General features: G+C 44.4%; 1 annotated feature.

The window, feature by feature from the left end:
• Positions 9,513-10,013: an enhancer, noted in NCBI's record as "NANOG-H3K4me1 hESC enhancer chr7:77635196-77635696 (GRCh37/hg19 assembly coordinates)". NCBI's record gives its function as "activates a minimal SCP1, AML or CMV promoter by ChIP-STARR-seq in naive H9 embryonic stem cells {active_cell/tissue: H9 hESC(naive)}" and the evidence as "EXISTENCE:reporter gene assay evidence [ECO:0000049][PMID:30033119]".

A 20,076-nucleotide genomic window follows, 5' to 3' on the forward strand; every position in this document is an offset into this window, starting at 1 on the left:
TAAGCCACACTTGTAAGAAGTGATTACTTGGAAACATCACAGTGGTCTTGAATCAATGCTTTTTTCCCCCTGCTGCTCATGAGCTGTAGAATCAATGCTTAAACATTTCCTTAACAACAAGTTGAAAATGAAACAAACCTGTTATCTTTTCTGTCTTACCTCCCTGAGGTATATATAAGTTTGATGAATTTCTCTGCTCAGGTAATAGGATTTAGCATCCATTCATGTATTCATTCACTCAACAAACATTTACTGAGACTGTTGAAGGTGCTGAGACTATAATGGCAGAGAAAAAAAAAAAGATAAAAATCCCTGTCTTAGTGGAACTTTTGTGTGGGAGTCATGGGGGAAGCATAGGACATCAGCAAGGGAAATTGGTGAAATAGAAAATATGTCAGAAAGTGGTAAGTGCTAAGGTGAAAAGATAAATAATAGAAAAGGGTCCCAGGGAGCAGCGTTTGGGCTGTATTAGCTTTTATTTTATTTTATTTTTTTTGAGACGGAGTCTTCTCGCTCTGTCACCAGGCTGGAATGTGGTGGTGCGATCTCAGCTCACTGCAACCTCTGCCTCCTGGGTTCGAGCGATTCTCCTGCCTCAGCCTCCCTAGTAGCTGGGACAACAGGTGCGCTCCACCACACCCAGCTAATTTTTGTATTTTTAGTAGAGACAGGGTTTCACCATGTTGGCCAGGATGGTCTTGACCTCGTGATCCACCCGCCTAGGCCTCCCAGAGTGCTGGGATTACAGGTTTGAGCCACCGTGCCCAGCCTAGGGTATATTGGATTTCTATTTTTCTGCATAACAAATTACTACATACAGCAGGTTAAAACAACACACACACTTATTGTCTCACAGTTTTTGTGGGTCCAGGAGTCTGAACGTGGCTTCACCAGGTCTTCTCTCCAGGGCCTCACAAGGCTGTGATCAAGGTGTCAGCAGATGCATTCTCATTTGAAAAAAGGACTGGAGAAGAGTCCTCTTCCAAGCTCATTCACGGTGTCAGCAGAATTCCTTCCCTCCCTCCCTTCTTTCTTTCTTTTCTTTTGTTTCTTTCTTTTCTTTCTTTGTCTCACTCTGTTGCCCAGGCTGGAGCACAGTGGTGCGATCTCTTGGCTCATTGCAACCTCCACCTCTCGGGTTCAAGGGATTGTTGTGCCTTGGCCTCCTGAGTAGCTGGGATTGCAGGCTTGCCACCATCATGCTCAGCTATTTTTTGTATTTTAGTAAAGATGGGGTTTCACCATGTTGGTCAGGCTGGTCTTGAACTCTTGACCTCAAATGATCCACCCGCCTCAGCCTCCCAACATGCTGGGATTACAGGCATGAGCCACCATGCCCAGTCCAAAATTTATTTCTTTATGGTTGTGTGACTGAGGTTTTAAATTAAGATTAGAGGTTTTAAATTTTGATTTAAGTCCAAGTTACGTATTCAGATTTTCAGATGACTGAGGGCCCCTGCTTTTTGACAGCTGTCTGCTGGAGGCCACCTTCAGATCCTAGAGGCCTCCTAGTTCCCTGGACCCTCTCACAACATGGCAGCTTACTTCCTCAAGCCAGCGAGGACAATCTCTTTCTTCAGTTTGCTAAGATGGAGCTTTCAATAATGTAACGTAACCATGACAGTGACAGCCCATCATCTTGTATATATATAATGTATAATATAATGTAACCTATTCAAGGAAGTGACACCCCATTACCTTTGCTATATCTTATTAGTTAGAAGCAAGTAGGAACAGGTTCTGTCCTCACTCAAGGGGAGAGGGACTCTTCAAGGGCTCATTGAGGTCACCTGAGGGTATGCCCGCCACAGGGGGGTTGCAAGCTTTGGCAGGGAAGGCATCCCTGAGAGGTGTCATTTGGTAAGGACCTGCGAAGGAGAGGGAGAGAGCCATGTGGCTATCATGGGGAAGAGCAACTTCCCTAGAGGAAAAAAGGAATGAAGAAGCCCCCCAAAGAAAAACATAGCCTGTGTACTGATGAGGAAGATCAAAGAGAGAGGGACAAATGAATGACGCAGGAGCAAGAGAGGAGAATTGCTGCAGTATGGCCCCTGAGCAGGCGAGCTCAGTCTAGCCCAGAAGGGCAGGGGTTGACATTTGCTAGTGGCATAGGCAAGTACTTGAGAGTGAAAGGCCTGGAGGCAGAGTATAGGGCACAAATACAGGTGTAGATATGGTGATAGAAAATTCTTCTAATTTCTTAATGTGACCTAGGAAGCAAGGTCATCTGCTGAGAGCAAGGATTAAGGAGGAGGTGTTGGCAATTTGAAGGGAAATGAGAAGGTACGAAATAGTCATCCACGAGAGGTGGATGGAATGGGTCTATCCCTGGAAAGGACCAAGGAGTGTCAGCCTGTTTGCCCAGCAGCATACATGGACCACTTGAGGTTAGTGGTTATGAATTATAGAGATACCAGTCAGCATGGTGAATGTTTTTCTCCAACATGTATGGGAAGATAGGCAAGGTACATGCAGAGAGTTGGCTTGGACCACAATTGTGGTTTATGCACAGAAGCAAAGAGGGGCAAGGGATTTGAGAGTGTGTGTAAGGGAGTGAGTAGAGTGATTGACCATGGAATTTGAGATAAGTCAGATCCATCAAGCAGAAAATCAGTAAGGATATAGCTGAACTGAACAGCACCACCATCAATCAACAAGATATAATGGGCATCTATAGATGACTTTATCCAACAACACCAGCACACACATTTTTTGCACACTCACATGAAGATTCGCCAAGATACAACACATTCTAGGCATAAACCATACCTTAACAATTTCAAAAGAATAGGAGTCATACAAAGAATGCTGTCAGACCACATGGAATTAAACTAGAAATCAACAACAGAAAGATAGCTGGAAAATCCCAAAACATTTGGAGATATGCATTTCTAAATAACACGTGGGTCAAAGAGGAAGTCTATCTTAGTCCAGTTGGGCTGCTATAACAAAATATCATAAGCTGGCAATGATAGACTGGATAAAGAAAATGTGGTACATATATACCATGGAATACTATGCAGCCATAAAAAGGAATGAGATCATGTCCTTTGCGGGAACATGGATGAAACTGGAAGTCATTATCCTCAGCAAACTAATGCAGAAACAGAAAACGAAACACTGCATGTTCTCAGTTATAAATGGGAGCTGAACAATGAGAACACATGGACACAGGGAGGGGAACAACACACACTGGGGCCTGTTGAGGGAGGGCAGGGAGAGGAGGGAGAGCATCAGGAAAAAGCTAATACATGATGGGCTCAATACCGAGGTGATGGGGTGACAGCTGCAGCAAACCACCATGGCACAGGTTTATCTATGTACAAACCTGCACATCCTGCATATAACACCCTGGAACTTAACATAAAAATAAATAAATAAATACGTAAGCCTATTTCAACTCTATAAGAAACTGCAGGCTGGGTATGGTGGCTCATCCTTGTAATCCCAGCACTTTGGGAGGCTGAGATGGGGGGATCACTTGAGCCCAGGAGTTTGAGACCAGCCTGGCCAACAAGGTGAGACCCCATCTCTACAAACCATACAAAAATTAGCTGGGTGTGGTGGCATGTGCCTGTAGTCCCAGCTACTTGGGAGGCTGAGGTGGGAGGATTTCCTGAGCTCAGGGAGGTCGAGGCTGCAGCCAGCCATTATCAAGCCATTACCCTCCAGCCTGGGTGACAGAGTAAGACCCTGTCTCAAAAAAACAGAGAAAAGGAACTGCCAAATATTTTCCAAGATGATTGTATCTACTAACAACGTATGTCAGTTTTTAAATTTTAGCCATTCTAGTAGGTGTGTAATTGATATCACCTGGTGGTCTTAATTGGCATTTCCCTAATGACAAATAATGTTGAGCATGTTATTATGCAGTTGTCTTCTGTATATTTTCTTTGTTGAAGTGCCTTTTTACAACTTTCTTTTTTTTTTTAATTTTTCATCAATTGGTTGATTTTTTTGAGACGGTCTTGCTCTGTTGTCAAGGCTGGAGTGCAGTGGCATGATACATCTGACTGTAAACTTGAATTCCTGGGCTCAAGTGATCCTCCTGCCTTGGCCTCCCAGGTAGCTGGGACAACAGGCATGTGCCAGCATGCCTGACTTTTTTTTTTTTTTTTTTTTTTGTAGAGATGGAGGTCTTGTTCTGTTGCCCAGGCTGGTCTTGAGCTCCTGGCCTCAAGTGATCCCCCTGCCTCAGCCTCCCAAAGTGTTGGGATTGAAGGCATGAGCCACTGTGCCTGGTCCACTCTTTTAAAGAATTGAGTTGTTTTGTTTTATTATTGAATTTTGAGACTTAAAAAGAAATATTGAGGATACAACTCCTTTGTCAGATTTTTGTTTTGCAAATATTTTCTACCAATCTGTGACTTTTTTTTTTCATTTTCTTAACTATCTTTTGAAGATTAGAAGTTTTAAATTTGTATTTAAGTCAAATTGATCACATATTCAGATTTTCATATTTAGGCCTCTGATCCATTTTAAGTTTAATTTTGTATATAGTATGACATATGCATCAAGGCACATCTTTCTTATATATATGGATATTCAGTTGTTGAGACTATTCGCTCTCCGTTGCATTGCCATTGTACCTTTGTTGAAATTTAATTGACGGTATATGTATGGGTCTGTTTCTGGACTCTCTGTTCTGTTCCATTGACGTATGTGCCTATCATTTGCCAATGCCTCACTGTCTGGATTCCTGTAGCTCAGTGGCCCTCAAATCTCCTCTACCTCTGAGGATATTAGGCAATGTCTGGAGATATTTTTGGTCATTATAATTGATGGGTAGAGGTCAGGGCTGTAAATAAATATCCTGCAATGCACAGGACAGCCTCCCACAACAAAGAATTATCTGGCCTAAAGCTAAGGCTGAGAAACTCTATGTGGCTTTACAGAAGAGTCCTGGAGTGAAGTCATGTGACCTAACAAAAGCAGTTTTGGAGGTGCAAGGAGAATATTATGAACATGCAAGACTGCTGTGAGGATAACACTGGATGCCATATGTAAATGTCAGGGCACATGGCTCATGATGATTTAATGCTATTTCCTCATTATTTGTGACTGCTCCTGACCTTGACCAAGTTTTCTCTTAGCAATCCCTTCAGTATGGCCTCTGTACTTGTCTAGGGCCTCCATATTAGGTTTTGAGCCCCACTCTGACGAGTCCTCTATTAGTAGGTCCCTGCTTGTCTCTCTTCTGCATGTACAAGCATTGCTTGTCCTGCTATTGGGCCTTTGCTTTCAAGATGGTGGCCACCTGCTCACTGAAGAGAATGGGTCATCAGGCCTTGCTGTTCTGTAAGGGCCCTTCCTGGGCCAAGTTACCAAAGGTTATGACCTGGTGGATGACTTCCTTTTGTCTTATTCTGATCGTAGGCTTCCTGGCCACCTTGACTATGTGGATCTCTTGGCCAGGATGGACCTCAAATAGCTTGCTGTAGTTCTTCCAATCTGTAAATTTTCCCTTGCTTGATGTTCATTTGACCATTCATTCTTTCATTCTATAAATGTGCCAGTCACAGTGCTATGTTCAAGGACTAGAGTAAGGAACAAGATAGATATAATACTTGCCTTCATGGAGTTTACATTTTGACTGGGTTCAGAGACATTACATTGCTTAATAAGTGCTCAAGAAAGATTTGCAAAATGAATGATGGTCAGTTCTCCTATGCTCTGTTTATATAATGTGAATTCATTTATATTTTATCTATGGCGGCTTTCATGCTTCAGAGGCAGAGCTGAGTGATTGTAACAGACACAACATGGCCTGCAAAGCCTAAAATATTTATTATCCAACACTTTACAAAAACGTTTGCTGTTCTGTGGTCAGATGCCTCAGATGTGTTCGGAGGAGAAGGTCATCTGGGGATACCCTCTGTGTTAGGGGTGAGGGGAAGCAGGCACTGCTGGGAACCACATGGGATCACAGACTCTTATGAACATGATGGCTTGTGGTGAAGAAGATGTTTTATCTTCTTGTCTGAAATATTAGTCCAGTTGGCACCACCTTCACACAGAAACCTGGAAAAATTCCCATGATGCCATCCCCCAAGGCAGTTTCTAGAGGAGAGGAGGAAATATTCTTTCTTCTAATGAAAAAATGAAGGCTGAGTGTGGTAGCTCATACCTGTAATCCCAGCACTTTGGGAGGCCGAAGCAGGCGGATCATCTGAGGTCAGGAGTTCAAGACCAGCCTGGCCAACATGGCAAAACCCCATGTCTACTAAAAATAAAAAAAGTAGCCGGGTGTGGTAGTGGGTGCCTCAATCCCAGCTATTCGGGAGGCTGAGGCAGGAGAATCACTTGAAACTCGGAGGCGGAGGCTTCAGTGAACCCTGATTGCACCACTGCACTCCAGCCTGGGTGACAGAGCAAGTCAAAAAAAACAAAAAGGAAAAAGAAAACATACACAAAGTACTGTGTGTGAATGAGAAATGTCTGTCTACCAAAATCTGTCCTCCCAATTCCATAGTGTGGAGTGGTGTCTGCCAGACAGCTGCCCAGTCAGGGACTACATTTCCCAGCTCCCTTGTGTCCAGTTGTGGCCACGTGACTAGTTCTCATTAAGGGAATATGAATGAGTGTGACCGGTCGCTTGAGGAAGCAAAGAAGGGGCTGTAATTGCTCCAGACCTTCTTTCCCCTTCTGCTATCTGGTTCCAGAGGACTCTGGGGCGCTAGGGCAGGGCTTCTCAAACTTCTATGTATAGGTGGTCCCTAACTTAATGATGGTTAGACTTACAATTTTTTGATGTTATGATGGTGTGAAAGTGATACAGTAGAAACCATCCTTCAAGTACCCATAGAGCCATTCTGTTTTTTACTTTTAGTACAGTATTCAATAAATTACATGAGGTATTCAACACTTTATTATTTATTTATTTTGAGACAGGATCTCACTATGTTGCCCAGGCTGGTGTGCAGTGGTGCAATCACAGCTCACTGCCACTTTGACCTCCCTGGTCTCAGACGATCCTCCCACCTCAACCTCCTGAGTAGCTAGGACTACAGGCTTGTGCCACCGCACCTAGCTAATTTTTGTATTTTTCTTTTTTTTGGTAGAGATTGGGTTTCATCATGTTGCCCAGGCTGGTCTCGAACTCCTGGACTCAAGGATCCATATGCCTCCCAAAGTTTTGGGATTAGAGGCATGAGCCACCACACCCGGCCCTCAACACTTTATTCCACAGTAGGCTTTGTGTTAGATGATTTTGCCCAACTATAGACTAATATAAGTGTTCTGAGCATTTTAAGGTAAGCGAGGCTAAGCTATGATGTTTGGTAGGTTAGGTATAGTAAATGCATTTTCTACTTATGATATTTTTCAACTTACAATGGGTTTAGTGGGATGTAACCCCATCACAAGTAGAGGAGCATCTGTATATGAGTCACCTGGCCATGGGCATCTTCTTAAAATACGGCTCTGAAACTGTAGGTCTAGGGTGGGGCCTGAGATCCTGCATTTCTAACAAGCTTTCAGGGATGTCCAAGCTGCTGGCACACAGGCCAGTCTTTCAGAAGCAAGTCTCCTAGGGGACAGTGGAGCTGGAGAATGAAAGGAACACAGGGCTCTGAATCACTGCACAAGAAAAGCCACCTCTTCAACCAGCAACTTCTGACCTGTCACCTGAGTGAGGAATAAGCTTTTTGGGGGCGTTGAAGGGTGAGGGTTATTTGTCACAGCAGCTAGTCTTCTAGAAGTAGTTCAAATGATTCACTGCTGCTCTTTTCAATATCTTGGCAGGGTAATTCAGGACAAAATCATCCCCGCTGCCCCTTCCCCTTAGCGAGGCTGTGTGTTCCAGATGACTGCTTTATGTTTTAAGGTATTTATACCTAACTATGCATTTAAACCTTACAAAGCTCTCACCCTGTACCATTAGGTCCTTGATGATGGTGGTGGTTAGAAAAAAAAAACACCTTGGTTTTATCTTTGTTGACTCAGATTAAAAACGGAGTGAAAATGTGTTTTGGGGTTGGGTTGTGAGGAAATGGCCTCTTCTGGTGGGAAGGTCAGTGGAGAACAGGCTATGAGGGACTTTGGTCTTGAGAGGCCAATGCAGGGAGTTCAGCTGGGAGTCTCTTATCCAAGAGGCTGGCTGGTGAGTGGCAGGACCCCATTGCAGGCTGCAGGGCTGAGGTTGGCTGAAACAGCCCAAATGTGCTGCTTGACATGAGTAGCAGGAGCCTGGACAGGGAGTCAAATGGGATATGTGGGCTCTGTGTGTGTGTGTGTGTGTGTGTGTGTGTGTGTGTGTGTGTGTGTGTGTGTGTGTGTATGTTATTTAGAGGAGCTGCAATTGGAGCAGAGAGGCAGAGGGAGTCTGGAATAGTCCTGGCCCAGACTGGCAGAGGCCTTTTACATGCTTCCAGCAAACATTCATGGTGTGGAGGCCGAGCCCATCTAAGGAATCCTGACCAGCTGGACACCATGTACCTGAATTCAGCCAAGGATATTAGTGGAAAGTTTTTCCCTTCGTTTGTGCAAGGAAAGCTAGAACAAGAAGGCCTGCCCTGTCATTGTAGCTCTGCTCCTGCCCTTGCCTTCCCAAAATAAGAGCCAGGGCCAGGCCTCCTCAAGCCCTGCTGGCTTCAGAGGCTGGGCCTGAGCATGAGGAGGAGAAAGTCCAGGGGAAAGAGTTATTGGACTTATTTTGGATAAAGCACCTGAAGGAGTCCCAGAAGCTTAGCTTTAATCCCAAGGGATGCTCAAATAACAATATCAGGCTCCTGTGTCAGAACTTTGTGGACACAGGTGCAAGCAAACCTGAGGAAAATCACAAATTGCCCACTCTGACTCATCAGAGCTGCTTGCCAGGCTGAAAGCCATTCCTACTCAGTGATATGGTTTGGTTGTGTCCCTACCCAAATCTCACCTTGAATTATAACTCCCACAATTCCCACATGTCATGGGAGGAACCCTGTGGGAGGTGATTGAATCATGGGATAGGGTCTTTCCTTTGCTGTTCTTGTGATAGTGAATAAGTCTCATGAGATCTGATGGTTTTAAAAATGGGAGTTTCCCTGTACAAGCTCTTTTTGCTTGCTGCCATCCATGTAAGACATGACTTGTTCCTCCTTGCCTTCCACCATGATTGTGAGGCCTCCACAGCCACGTGGAACTTTAAGTCCATTAAACCCTTTTTCCTGTATAAATTACCCAGTCTCAGGTATGTCTTTATCAGCAGTGTGAAAACGGACTAATACACTCAGGGAAATGATGTTGGATTTAGAGAAGAGACCAGTTCTAAAAAAATTATTCAACCTTCAGCAAGCATTCACTGAGAACCTATTCTACGGTAGGCATAGCAAATATTAATTCCACAGACATAAAATCAACTTTCAATCCACACCTTGGTGTTGGAGAAAACGTCTGAGAACTTGGAAAGTGAGGGTTGTGAGTTGGTGTACTGATGACACCTGTCCAGGAAGGTTCATCACAGAATTGTAGATGTACCAGTGAGGCCTCCTGAGCCCTCCCAGAAAGGCTCATGCCTGCCCCAAGACAGAAGTTCAGGAAGGCTGAGCTTGGTGTCTCCAGCCTCCAGGGCTCGGGAGCCTGGACACAGCACAGGACACAGAGGATGGAGAGTAAGGAGAGGAGGAACTGAGGCCAGGGGAGAAAAGTGGGGTAGGGAGCACAATGGTGGTCTCCACAAGGCCCGTCCCCTCTGAAGTCTCTACTCCATTGCCAGAGTGTTATTTACAAGAAACCCACATCACATCAGGTTGTTCTGCCCAATTAGAACCCATCAGCAGTCTCCTGCTGCCTTTTGAATGGAGGCCCACATACTGGCCAAGGCCGATTAGGCCCTGTGTGATCTGGATTCTGCGGCTCCCAGCCTCCTGCTGGTGACTTCTTTCTCATCCTCTGTGCCTGAGGCAACTGGCTTCTGTCGGGGCCTCAGATTTGCTAGCCTGATCACTACACCATTCCTTCTTGGGTAATCAAGCCCTGCGGTTGGCCCGCGCCTGGGAGGTTTGCTGGAATGTGGATTTTTAGTTTGAAAATCAGGACGGTCACTGGCTAATGGGTGAGTTGATCATCCTGGTTCCCTCAGGCCCTGACTCTCCCCCAGACGCTTCTGTTCCACAGAGCATGTTCCTGTCTGAGTCCTGGGCACCTTCAGCCTTCAGCAGAGCAGTCACTTCCTCAGGAGAAGCTGGGCCCACCTGCCCCCTCAGCCAGCAAGCCCCCTGCTATGGTGTCCTTGACTTCTCCCTGGGGGCACCCACCACCCTGCAATTGTGTCATTGGTTGTGGCATTACTTACCTGATGATGAAAAGAGGTGGGGAACACTGTCAAAGGTGCGGCCCTTGCACAGCACCTGGCACACAGCTGACCGCTCAAACATACTTGCTGAATGGCAGTCCCAGAGCACCACTGCAAATGGTATATGTCTTTTAATTAATGATAACAGTACTAATAAAAGTATGTGTCAAGTATTTACTCTGTATTAGTCTCAAGTAATTTTTTTTTTTTTTTGAGACAGAGTCTCACTCTGTTGCCCAGGCTGGAGTGTAATGGCATGATCTTGGCTCACTGCAACCTCTTCCCCACCAGGGGTTCAAGTGATTCTCTTGCCTCAGCCTCCCAAGTAGCTGGGATTATAGGCGTGCTCCACCATGACCAGCTAATTTTTGTATTTTTAGTAGAGATGGGGTTTTGCCACGTTGGCCAGGCTGGCCTCGAACTCCTGACCTCAGGTGATCTTTCTGCCTCGGCCTCCCAAAGTGCTGGGATTATAGGTATGAGCCACCGTGCCTGGCCCAGTCTCAAGTAATTGATCCCAGGCTGTTTCTCAGCATGGATGATGGTTCTACATGTGCCTATTTTAAAACTGAGTAAACCATCCAAATGTTTTTGTGTACTTTTTGGCATAGATGTTATTTTGTCACAATGAAAGTACTAAAATTGGAGTCCCTGGATAGATGTGTGTGAATCTGGGTATCTGTGTGCTCGTGAGTCTCTGTGTGTTCACGTGTGAGTATATATACATATATTCTCAGCCTTTGTCTTGTAGTGCCGCATTTGCTCACTTTGGCTTGCTTTGGGCCATGCCTAGGGCCATCTCAGAGTTGGAAATCCAGATCAAGAAGCAAGAATCCAGGCATGCCTGCAGAACACAGAGATAGTTGAAGGTATGTCCCTGAATCTTATGACCCCTGCTAATTTTTAACATTTGGAAAGGGTAGTTTACATGGGTCTCTGTTCTGAAGCATTCTTTCTATGAATTTCTCTTTTTATTCCATGTCCATTATGGTTGAAGCAGTTGCAGCTCATTTGTATTATCTTGTTAAGCGCTGGAAAAATAAATTGGCTCATGTCTTTCCTGGTACCTGGATTTCAAGAAGTCAAATCTTTTCTGTCTTTGCTTCCAGTAGCAAGGCACTCTTTGCATCCTAACACTTTTGTGAATGCATTTATGATGCATAGGACAGTTCCTTTGCCTAATGGTTCAGCAGTCTCCCTTTGCTGTGGCTTTTGCCTTAAGGCAAGCATTTAAAGATATTAAGAGAGCGTTCTGCTTTCATTAGCATGTTTTATTCTTTATTCCTAAGAGTCGTTTTAATCATATTAATTTGGAAGGACCCACCTGAAATTGCACAACCTCTTGTCTCCCTCTCTCTGAGGTCCCCTCCAGCTACATGGTCTAGGAGTCCCTACCATCTTACCCACTTCTGATGTTCTTCCGTTGTCTTGACCCCTGTCCCACCCCTTTGCCCAAGCCATGGGCTCCTCCCACTTGGTGGCTTTGTCCTTGTACTCCCTCTGTACCCTTCCTCTCGCTGTGCGCTGGAAAGGGTCTAAGATTGGGATTTAGAAGCTGAGTGCTATGCTTCTTAGTAGCTGCGTGACTTTGGGCAAATAATCTTAAAGACCACAACTTCTTCGTCTCTGCAAAGATATAGTCCCCATTCCCATTTTATATAGTGTGAGAATCAAATGGAAATATGCATAATATCACTGTGAAAACAATCATTATATATATCCAGAGTAATAATCCTGCCATTCTAATGCTAGGTTAACTCTACTGTTCATGTCCTTGGCTCCTGGCCCTGGAACGAGGCTAGATGTCTTACTGTTAGGGAACAAATCCTGTATACACATGGGCTGTGTCAGGTGAAGAGATGGCCCAGGAAGTCCTAGGCAGAGCATGCTCTGTTTCAGAAATGCCTGCAGAGAAACAGGGAGGCTTGAATCACTCCTGCTCTCAGAAGTGTTTTGGAAGGAGTATTCTTTTATTTAACAACTCCTTGTTGAGCACTTACTCCATACCAGACTTTGTATTAAGACGGACCTGGGTTAGAATTCTAGATCTGCCCAAGGGTACACAGTAAGACTGGTTAAGCCTGGAACCAAGAACCAAGGGTATACAGTAAGACTGATTAAGCCTGGAACCCAGGACGATGGGGGATGCCCCATCCAGAATAATAGGAAGAAAGGGGGGATGCCTTCTTTTTTCTTTTTTTTCCCGTCCTTTGTTCTCTTCATGAGTGGCAGATGGGTAATCGCATCTCCATACCACAGGACATGCCCCTTGGATGCATTCTCCAAAACTGGGAAAAGTTTAATTTCCTCAAATCTTAAACTTCTTGGCTTAAAAATAAACTGGAAAGAAATTACAAGACTCAGCTTCGAAACCCAGTACACCATGCAGGAAGTCCTCAGATTAGCCTCTTAAGTCTTTTATAATGGAGAGTAGAAAAAGGATGACAGGGCTAAGCCTGTTGGGTGGGGCAAATGGCATCCCCTCCCTCCAAAAGAAAATATTAAACTTCTTACCAGTCAGACTTCTGGCTTCTCTCTCTGTGCAAACTGGTTGTAGAAATGGTAAAAATCACTGTATTCCCTGCCCCTCCATGCACAACTTCTGATTTCTCTCTCTTTTTTTTTTTTTTGTGACGGAGTCTTGCTCTGTTGCCCAGGCTGGAGTGCAGTGGCGCGATCTCGGCTCACTGCAAGCTCCGCCTCCCTGGTTCATGCCATTCTCCTGCCTCAGCCTCCTGAGTAGCTGGGACTACAGGAGCCCGCCACCCCACCTGGCTAATTTTTTTGTATTTTTTAATAGATATGGGGTTTCACCATGTTAGCCAGGATGGTCTTGATCTCCTGACCTCGTGATCCGCCCGCCTTGGCCTCTCAAAGTGCTGGGATTACAAGCATGAGCCACCGCGCCCAGCCTGATTTCTCTTCTTGAATTTTCCTTTCTCAGAGCTACTTTTGTGGACTCTAAATTTTGTAAAAATTGCTTATCACTTTTCTAAAAATACCTTGTACACTCATGGTTAAGTCATAACTTTAGTTAAAACTTATTGACTTCACCTTTGAGGTTGCCTTTGGCAAAGCTCAAAAGACACAAGTATTTGCCATTTGGCCAGGCTAAAGTCAGGTATAAGAGATTAAAAGAATTTTGGCCGGGCACGGTGGCTCATGCCTGTAATCCCAGCACTTTGGGAGGCCGAGACGGGCGGATCACGAGGTCAGGAGATCGAGACCATCCTGGCTAACACAGTGAAACCCCGTCTCTACTAAAAATACAAAAAAATTAGCTGGGCATGGTGGCGGGTGCCTGTAGTCCCAGCTACTCAGGAGGCTGAGGCAGAAGAAGGGCGTGAACCCAGGAGGCGCAGCTTGCAGTGAGCCGAGATCGCACCACTGCACTCCAGCCTGGGTGACAGAGCGAGACTGTCTCCAAAAAAAAAAAAAAAAAAAAAGAGATTAAAAGGATTTTAAGAGCATTATGATCAAAAGTCAACTTAATTAAAAGCGGATATCCAAGCTATACCTATATAGAGCTGAAATGTTCATGAATATCAAGCAGAACAGAGCTTAACTGAATGGATTGAACTAATAGGAGAGTGAGGTAATCTTTTTTTTTGACTTTTTGCTCATCTTTATTTTATTTTTCAGAGTCAAGGAAACTTTTTAGCTATTTACAGCTTTTAACAATTGAGTATAGTATACACCCGTGAACAAAATTTGGAGCATATTTCTCTCTACCTGATTTCTCTAGAATTTGGAAAATTTGTGAGTATTCTTATGGCAATATAGTTATTTGCATAAGTGGAATAAGAATGTTTTCTTTTGCAATAGAATGCAATTGGAGAAATTTGTTGTTTTACCAAGGCTTTGACTGAAATGGTATGCTTTAAGAAATCAAGCTCGACTTATAGAGCCAATAAAAGCCCCTTGGGAAAATTGGCCTCATTCCTTGTCTGCACAGTCCCTGTACAGGGTTCTTAACCTGTGGTGAGTAAAGACTGTCACTTTCTAACAGGCCCAAGAGCCCCAAGTTACCTTGGTACCTTAAGAGAAGAGGAATTTACCCAATTCATAGGTATTTGAGGGTACAAACCCATGGCTGGTACATGTCTTTAAAAAGTATTATCTAAGAGTCCTTGTGGAACACAGTTCCATCAAAGCCAATTTTAAAAGCCTATGTGAAAAATAATTATTCTTGCTGCACTTTATGCAAATAATCAGGCCAAGTGTAATAAGACTAAAGTTAATTGTGCAAAAAAAATCAGTCCTATCATGATTTGTTAACAAAAATAAGGACTGGAGAAATTATGTTTCAAAAGTTATGGCACACCTGTCATTAAATTCAAGTCTCATAAGTTGTTTTTAAGTTTTTGTCTGGATTTTAGATCAACCCTGCTTATTCCTGTAAACCAACCAGTGATCTCTGGCTGCAGCTCAGAAGAAACAAAAGGGATGGGTAATGTAAAAATCTGGATCAATGTTCTAATTCTGGGCAATTATCCTCCAAATCCTGTCAGGTGATGGGGGTAACCCTGGAGGTTTCTTTTTTGGGGAAATAAGACCAAGGGAGCTAACCAAAGCCAAACCCCATGCACCCAAGTCTTAGCAGGCATAACTGTAGCCACCAGCTGCCTGGATGTGTCAGCAGCCTCACAAGTTTTGGAGCTGTCCTCATCCCCTTGTTTTGCTTTGGTCCATGTCTTCTAATCTAATAACCCGATTTGTCTCCACTTGCCTTCAGGCCATTAAGTTCCAGATGATCCTCAGTGAGGGATACCGTCCTTTCAATATTTAATAATCTCACCCTTCTACACAGACCCTCTAGACTGCCAGTCAGTGGGACACGACAGAGGCAAAATGCTGTCCCTGTCACCCTTGACCTGGCTGGATACTGCTTTCACCAACTCATGGAGCCAACCCAGCCCTGCAGGCAAGAAACCAAGACCCACAGAACCACCACTGCCCCTCTGTTAGCAGGAAGCAGTTGCAGAAGGCAGACCTTCGTCCATTTTACCCCAAAGATTTGGGGTCGTGGACTCTTGAGGGGGAAAATGTTATAGTCGGCAGCTAGTTAGGTAGGCAGGGCAGAAAAGGGCTCTTCCCTCACCACACACACACCAGGAGTGTTGGGAGACCCTCAGGGCATGGTCAGGTGGTTGTTAACTATTTCTCTAAAGTAATAATTGGTCACAGCCGGTGCCAGGGAAAGACAGGCTCCTAATAGAAAACACCTGAAACTAATCAGCAGCTTCCCAATAAGATCTCAGGAGTGGGGAGAAATGCAAGATCCCAGAAGTAGGCCAACGGATAAAACTCCCAGTCAAGAGGTAAGCTGCGCCCTTGGCTTCTCAGGTCACCTGCTTGGCCCTCTTCCAAGTTGTATTTTCCTTCTTTTCTTCCCTTACTCTTCTAAAGCTTTTTAGTAAACTTTCACTCCTGCTCTGAAAAGAAAAAATTCTAGATCTGCCACTTAGCTTCAGAAAGGCCCTGTCTTTCTTTTCTTGTTCTCTTGTTCGTGTTTCTCTCATTCAAGATTTCCAGGAAAATGTTTTAATTCTTTTCAAATCTTCAGTGTCACCTCTACATTTTACAGATTTGAGCAGACTTCCAGTAGCTGAAAACACAGAAGGCATAGGATATGGACTCCCTTGACTCTTTAGTGTTTTTCCAAATCTCTGAAAGACACACAGCCTTCTCGAAGTGGATGAGTGTTCTTCTGCCAAGTCTCATCTCCACGCGCCCTCTGCCCCGCCCCAGGGTACTTCTTATTCCTTCCCAACCTCCATTTCCTCCAGGCCTTCTGACCACCTCCCTCCCTGCCTGCTGCCCACAGTCACTTTCCCTCCTTTCCCCCAGCTCCCTCCCCTTGGGCTGAAAGCAGGCAAGTCACCTCCAGACTAAGAAACAACCAGCCAACCATGAGCAGCAATTTTCCTGTTTCTCCTTTGAATCGACAACATTTCTGTCAACAAGACCTCTGCCTGCTCACTCCTCATTCACTCGGCGACTTAAATGTACTATTCTACTAAAAGGTCTCTTGAACCTCCAAAAATAAAAATAAGTGATTCAGTCGTACCCCTGCTTCTGAGTGACATCATTGCACATGTGGTCACTGATGTTACTCCTTGTTTGTTGAAATCCTCTCTTCCCTAGGGGTTCATGGCCCTGCACTGTCCAGTCTCTCCACTCCTTCCAACCACTCCTTCCCTGACCCATCTCCCCAGTGTGGCTCCTGTCCCTTTTCCTTTTGCCAATTCTTTACCTTGAAGATCATAATCAACTTTTACTCCTAGGGTAGTGGTTCTCATCCTTGGCTGCCCAACCTTTGTCTCCTGGAGGAGCTTTAAAAAAAATCCTGATGTCCAGGTCCCATCCCAACCAATTACATCAGAATGTCTAGGAATGGGTCCTGGTGGGGTCTGGGGAGTTCACTCTTAAATCTTTAGACTTAGTTTCTCACTGAACCTAATTTTCTGAAACACCTTCATTTTTAGGCTGTGATTATTGGCTGGATGAATATTTCCATCTGGGCAATCTAAGAGCCCCGTGATGTCCCTTGTAGATCTGATCCTCTTCCTATTTTCTCCTTTCACTTGGGCTGGAAGGCTGTGATTGTCCTTAACTCTCGGCATCCAGTAAGTCTGAGGTCTGCTTGTTTCCCCTCCTTGAAAGCCCTCAAAACTCTCCCCTCCATTCCAGGTGGGCAGGTCTTCTTATCTCTCACCTGGACTGATATGAAGCACCTGCCAGAGTTTCTCCACTTGCTCTTCCTCCTAGACAAGGCTGCCAGGACTAACTTCAGAGCCAAGGGCTGATTTTGTCTTTTCTCTGCTCCGAAATCTTTCCTGACTCTCCACTGTTCACTAATGGCTTTGTGGCCTGCTTTCATCCCCGCCCTCCACCCACTCTCTCTTGTATACTCTCAGCCAAAAACCAATAACTTCCCACTCCCCTGATATTCCTCCAACATTTCTCTTAACTTTGCTCAAGCTGTTCTCTCCCTTATACTCGCTCTGCCTCTTGAAATCCTTCCCATCCTTCAAAATCCAAGTAAAATGCCCCTTATCCAGAACAACTTTTAGCATTTCTGCATCCTACAAAATCCTGCATTCCTACTGTCACACAGACCACATTCTGTCCTGGGTTAATTGTCATGGTCTTTTAACTAGATTATAGGCAACTTGAGAATAGGGCCTGTGCGCTGTTCACCATTAATGCTTTTACATAGCAGCTATTTGAAAATTTTTACTATACTAAATTAAGGAGGTTTGCCTATGTGAGTGCTCTTTTTAGCTCACATAGCCCCTAAAATAACTTTCTAAACCATTAGATCCAATTTTTTAAACTGACATCTGCATTTTTTAAATCATAAATTTAAATATTACAAAGAATGTATTTCCTCTTGTATGCATGCATGCCTTAAATATATTTTCATTTAAACCTGAAATCAAGTAATTATAGATTTGATGCCTTTAATCTCAAACTCCTGCACTCAAACGATCCTCCTGCCTCTGCCTCCCAAAGTGCTGGGATTTCAGCTGTGAGCCACCATGCCCGGCCATGATGCCTTTAATCTATGGAAAATATGTGCTATATAATCTCATTGGCAGAGCTAGTCTAAGTGGTCAAGGCAGACAAATAGCCAATCACACGTTCAATCAGAAATCTGACTTTATTTGAAAACTCATATACATGTAGGTGCCAATTCTGAGATCACCAGGAACTCTGCCTGGGCTCCTCCATCAAAGAAGGTGTTGCCCACTTAACTATTTCTTACTGCTGAGGGCTGCATTCACCAATTGTCTCTTTAATTCCCTAGAAGTTTTTACACCATAATGCACCAGTGTCAAATGCAGGACAGGTGATAGATGGAGCTTTTCCTTGCCATGTAAAGGGCCCTTGTATAGAGCAGGTGGACATGCACACAGCCTGCTAGGGTTTTAGAAAATGTACCTCCCACTTAGGAGGTCAAAGGTCGCTTTATTGTTTCACAGAATACCAGGTTCTTCCAGGTGAGATCACTCTCCAAGAGGCAGTTTCATCAGGAGAAAAGATTCGTCAAACTCCTAGAGCTCTTAAGATAAGGCTCTCATTTGTGGTGGCCGGTTACCCTCCCCAGGGGTGGTGGGACAGACTTAAGCTTTTTTTTTTTTTGGAGGCAGAGTCTTGCTCTGTCACCCAGGCTGGAGTGCAGTGGCGCGATCTCAGCTCACTGCAAGCTCTGCCTCCCGGGTTTACGCCATTCTCCTGCCTCAGCCTCCCCAGTAGCTGGGACTACAGGCACCTGCCACCACACCCGGCTAATTTTTTTGTATTTTTAGTAAAGATGGCGTTTCACCATGGTCTCGATCTCCTGACCTCCTGATCCGCCCGCCTCGGCCTCCCAAAGTGCTGGGATTACAGGTGTGAGCCACTGTGCCCGGCCCAGATTTAAGCTTTTATGAAGTCCCTGATCATTGAGTTGCCTGGGTGATCTGCTACCAAATGCCCAGCAAGGGTTTGGTTTAATTCTAGGGTGTTGCTCCATTGTTTATACCCAAATGTTCACAATCACAGCTGTTATTACCACCAATAATCATAATCTCTACACATATAACTGGGGCCCTGTATACACTAGACATGATGCAGAACTTACTAAACACAGGACTCTTAACTATGTTAAGACTTGGAAACTATATTCTTGTGATTTTACAGGCATCCTGTCTGGCACTATAGTTGTCTGAAACAGAAATGTCTGTTAAATCCAAATTCTTTCAGCAAAGAGGTCATTTGATTTTGCCATGACTTTGGCCTGAAATACAGCAGTATCAGGGGAGCAGGGGCAGGTTACTTAGGGGAGCCCCAAGTTTACATAATTTTGGGGGAAACATTAAAAAGAGAATATAAACTTTCAAGTAAGATTCAGGGCCCATGCAAGCGTCAGTTTCTATAGATTTACAGCAGATCCACGTCTACTGCAGAAATACAATCAGGTTTCTGGTGGCGTGTCTCATGCTTGGAATACACATTTGAGGCGATTCCTGGCATGTGTGTACCCCAGTAGCCACAGGGTTTACCACCTCTGGGGGCTGTGCCTCCACTGCTTGGAAGGTGACCCAGGCCCTGATGAAAACAATGGGTTCTCCTGCCAAATGCCTGGCTGTAGTTCCAAACTGATGGGCTGTGGGCCAGATGTGGCTGCATCTGGTTTGTTGTGGTACTGTTTTTTTTTTTTTTCCTTGCGTAGCCTTTCTTATAAATGTGAATGAAACTTGTCAAACTTTAAAAACCAAAAAATTTCAAATAAAGACCTGATTTTTTTTTTCTTCCTTCTCTTGAGAAGTTGGAATACTGTTCCGTACTGGACTTGACAAACAAGGAGCTTTAGAGGAAGGCACACTCACCCTTTGGCCAGTCCCCATCTGAGTCCCTCCTCTGTTCAGAGTTTCCTGCCTATACCTTGGAGACATGAATTCATGATAAGGCCCTGTTCAAGCCAGCAGGGGCCTTGCTGGCTTCCCCCTAGTTCCTGCCTTATCCCTATCCTAGTCCTTTGATCTCTGGCTTCCTATCTTTTGGTGTCTTAGTAATTTGTATTTCTTATTTTAAAATAAGTAGTGCAGGATGAATATTTATATTCCATTTAAACAACATTTTTATATAGGTCTTTTTCAGCTTGCACTGGCCCATTCTCAGATTACTTCATAAAGAACTACATGTGTTACAAATTTCATAATTTTTGTGTTCCATTTTATACATCACCTCTTTCCTTTTATAAAAATGATGCACGATATTAAAAATTTTGTATTGGAATGAAAGATGGACAGTTT

Source organism: Homo sapiens, chromosome 7 (assembly GCF_000001405.40).
Source record: "Homo sapiens chromosome 7, GRCh38.p14 Primary Assembly".
Classification (NCBI taxonomy): domain Eukaryota; kingdom Metazoa; phylum Chordata; class Mammalia; order Primates; family Hominidae; genus Homo; species Homo sapiens.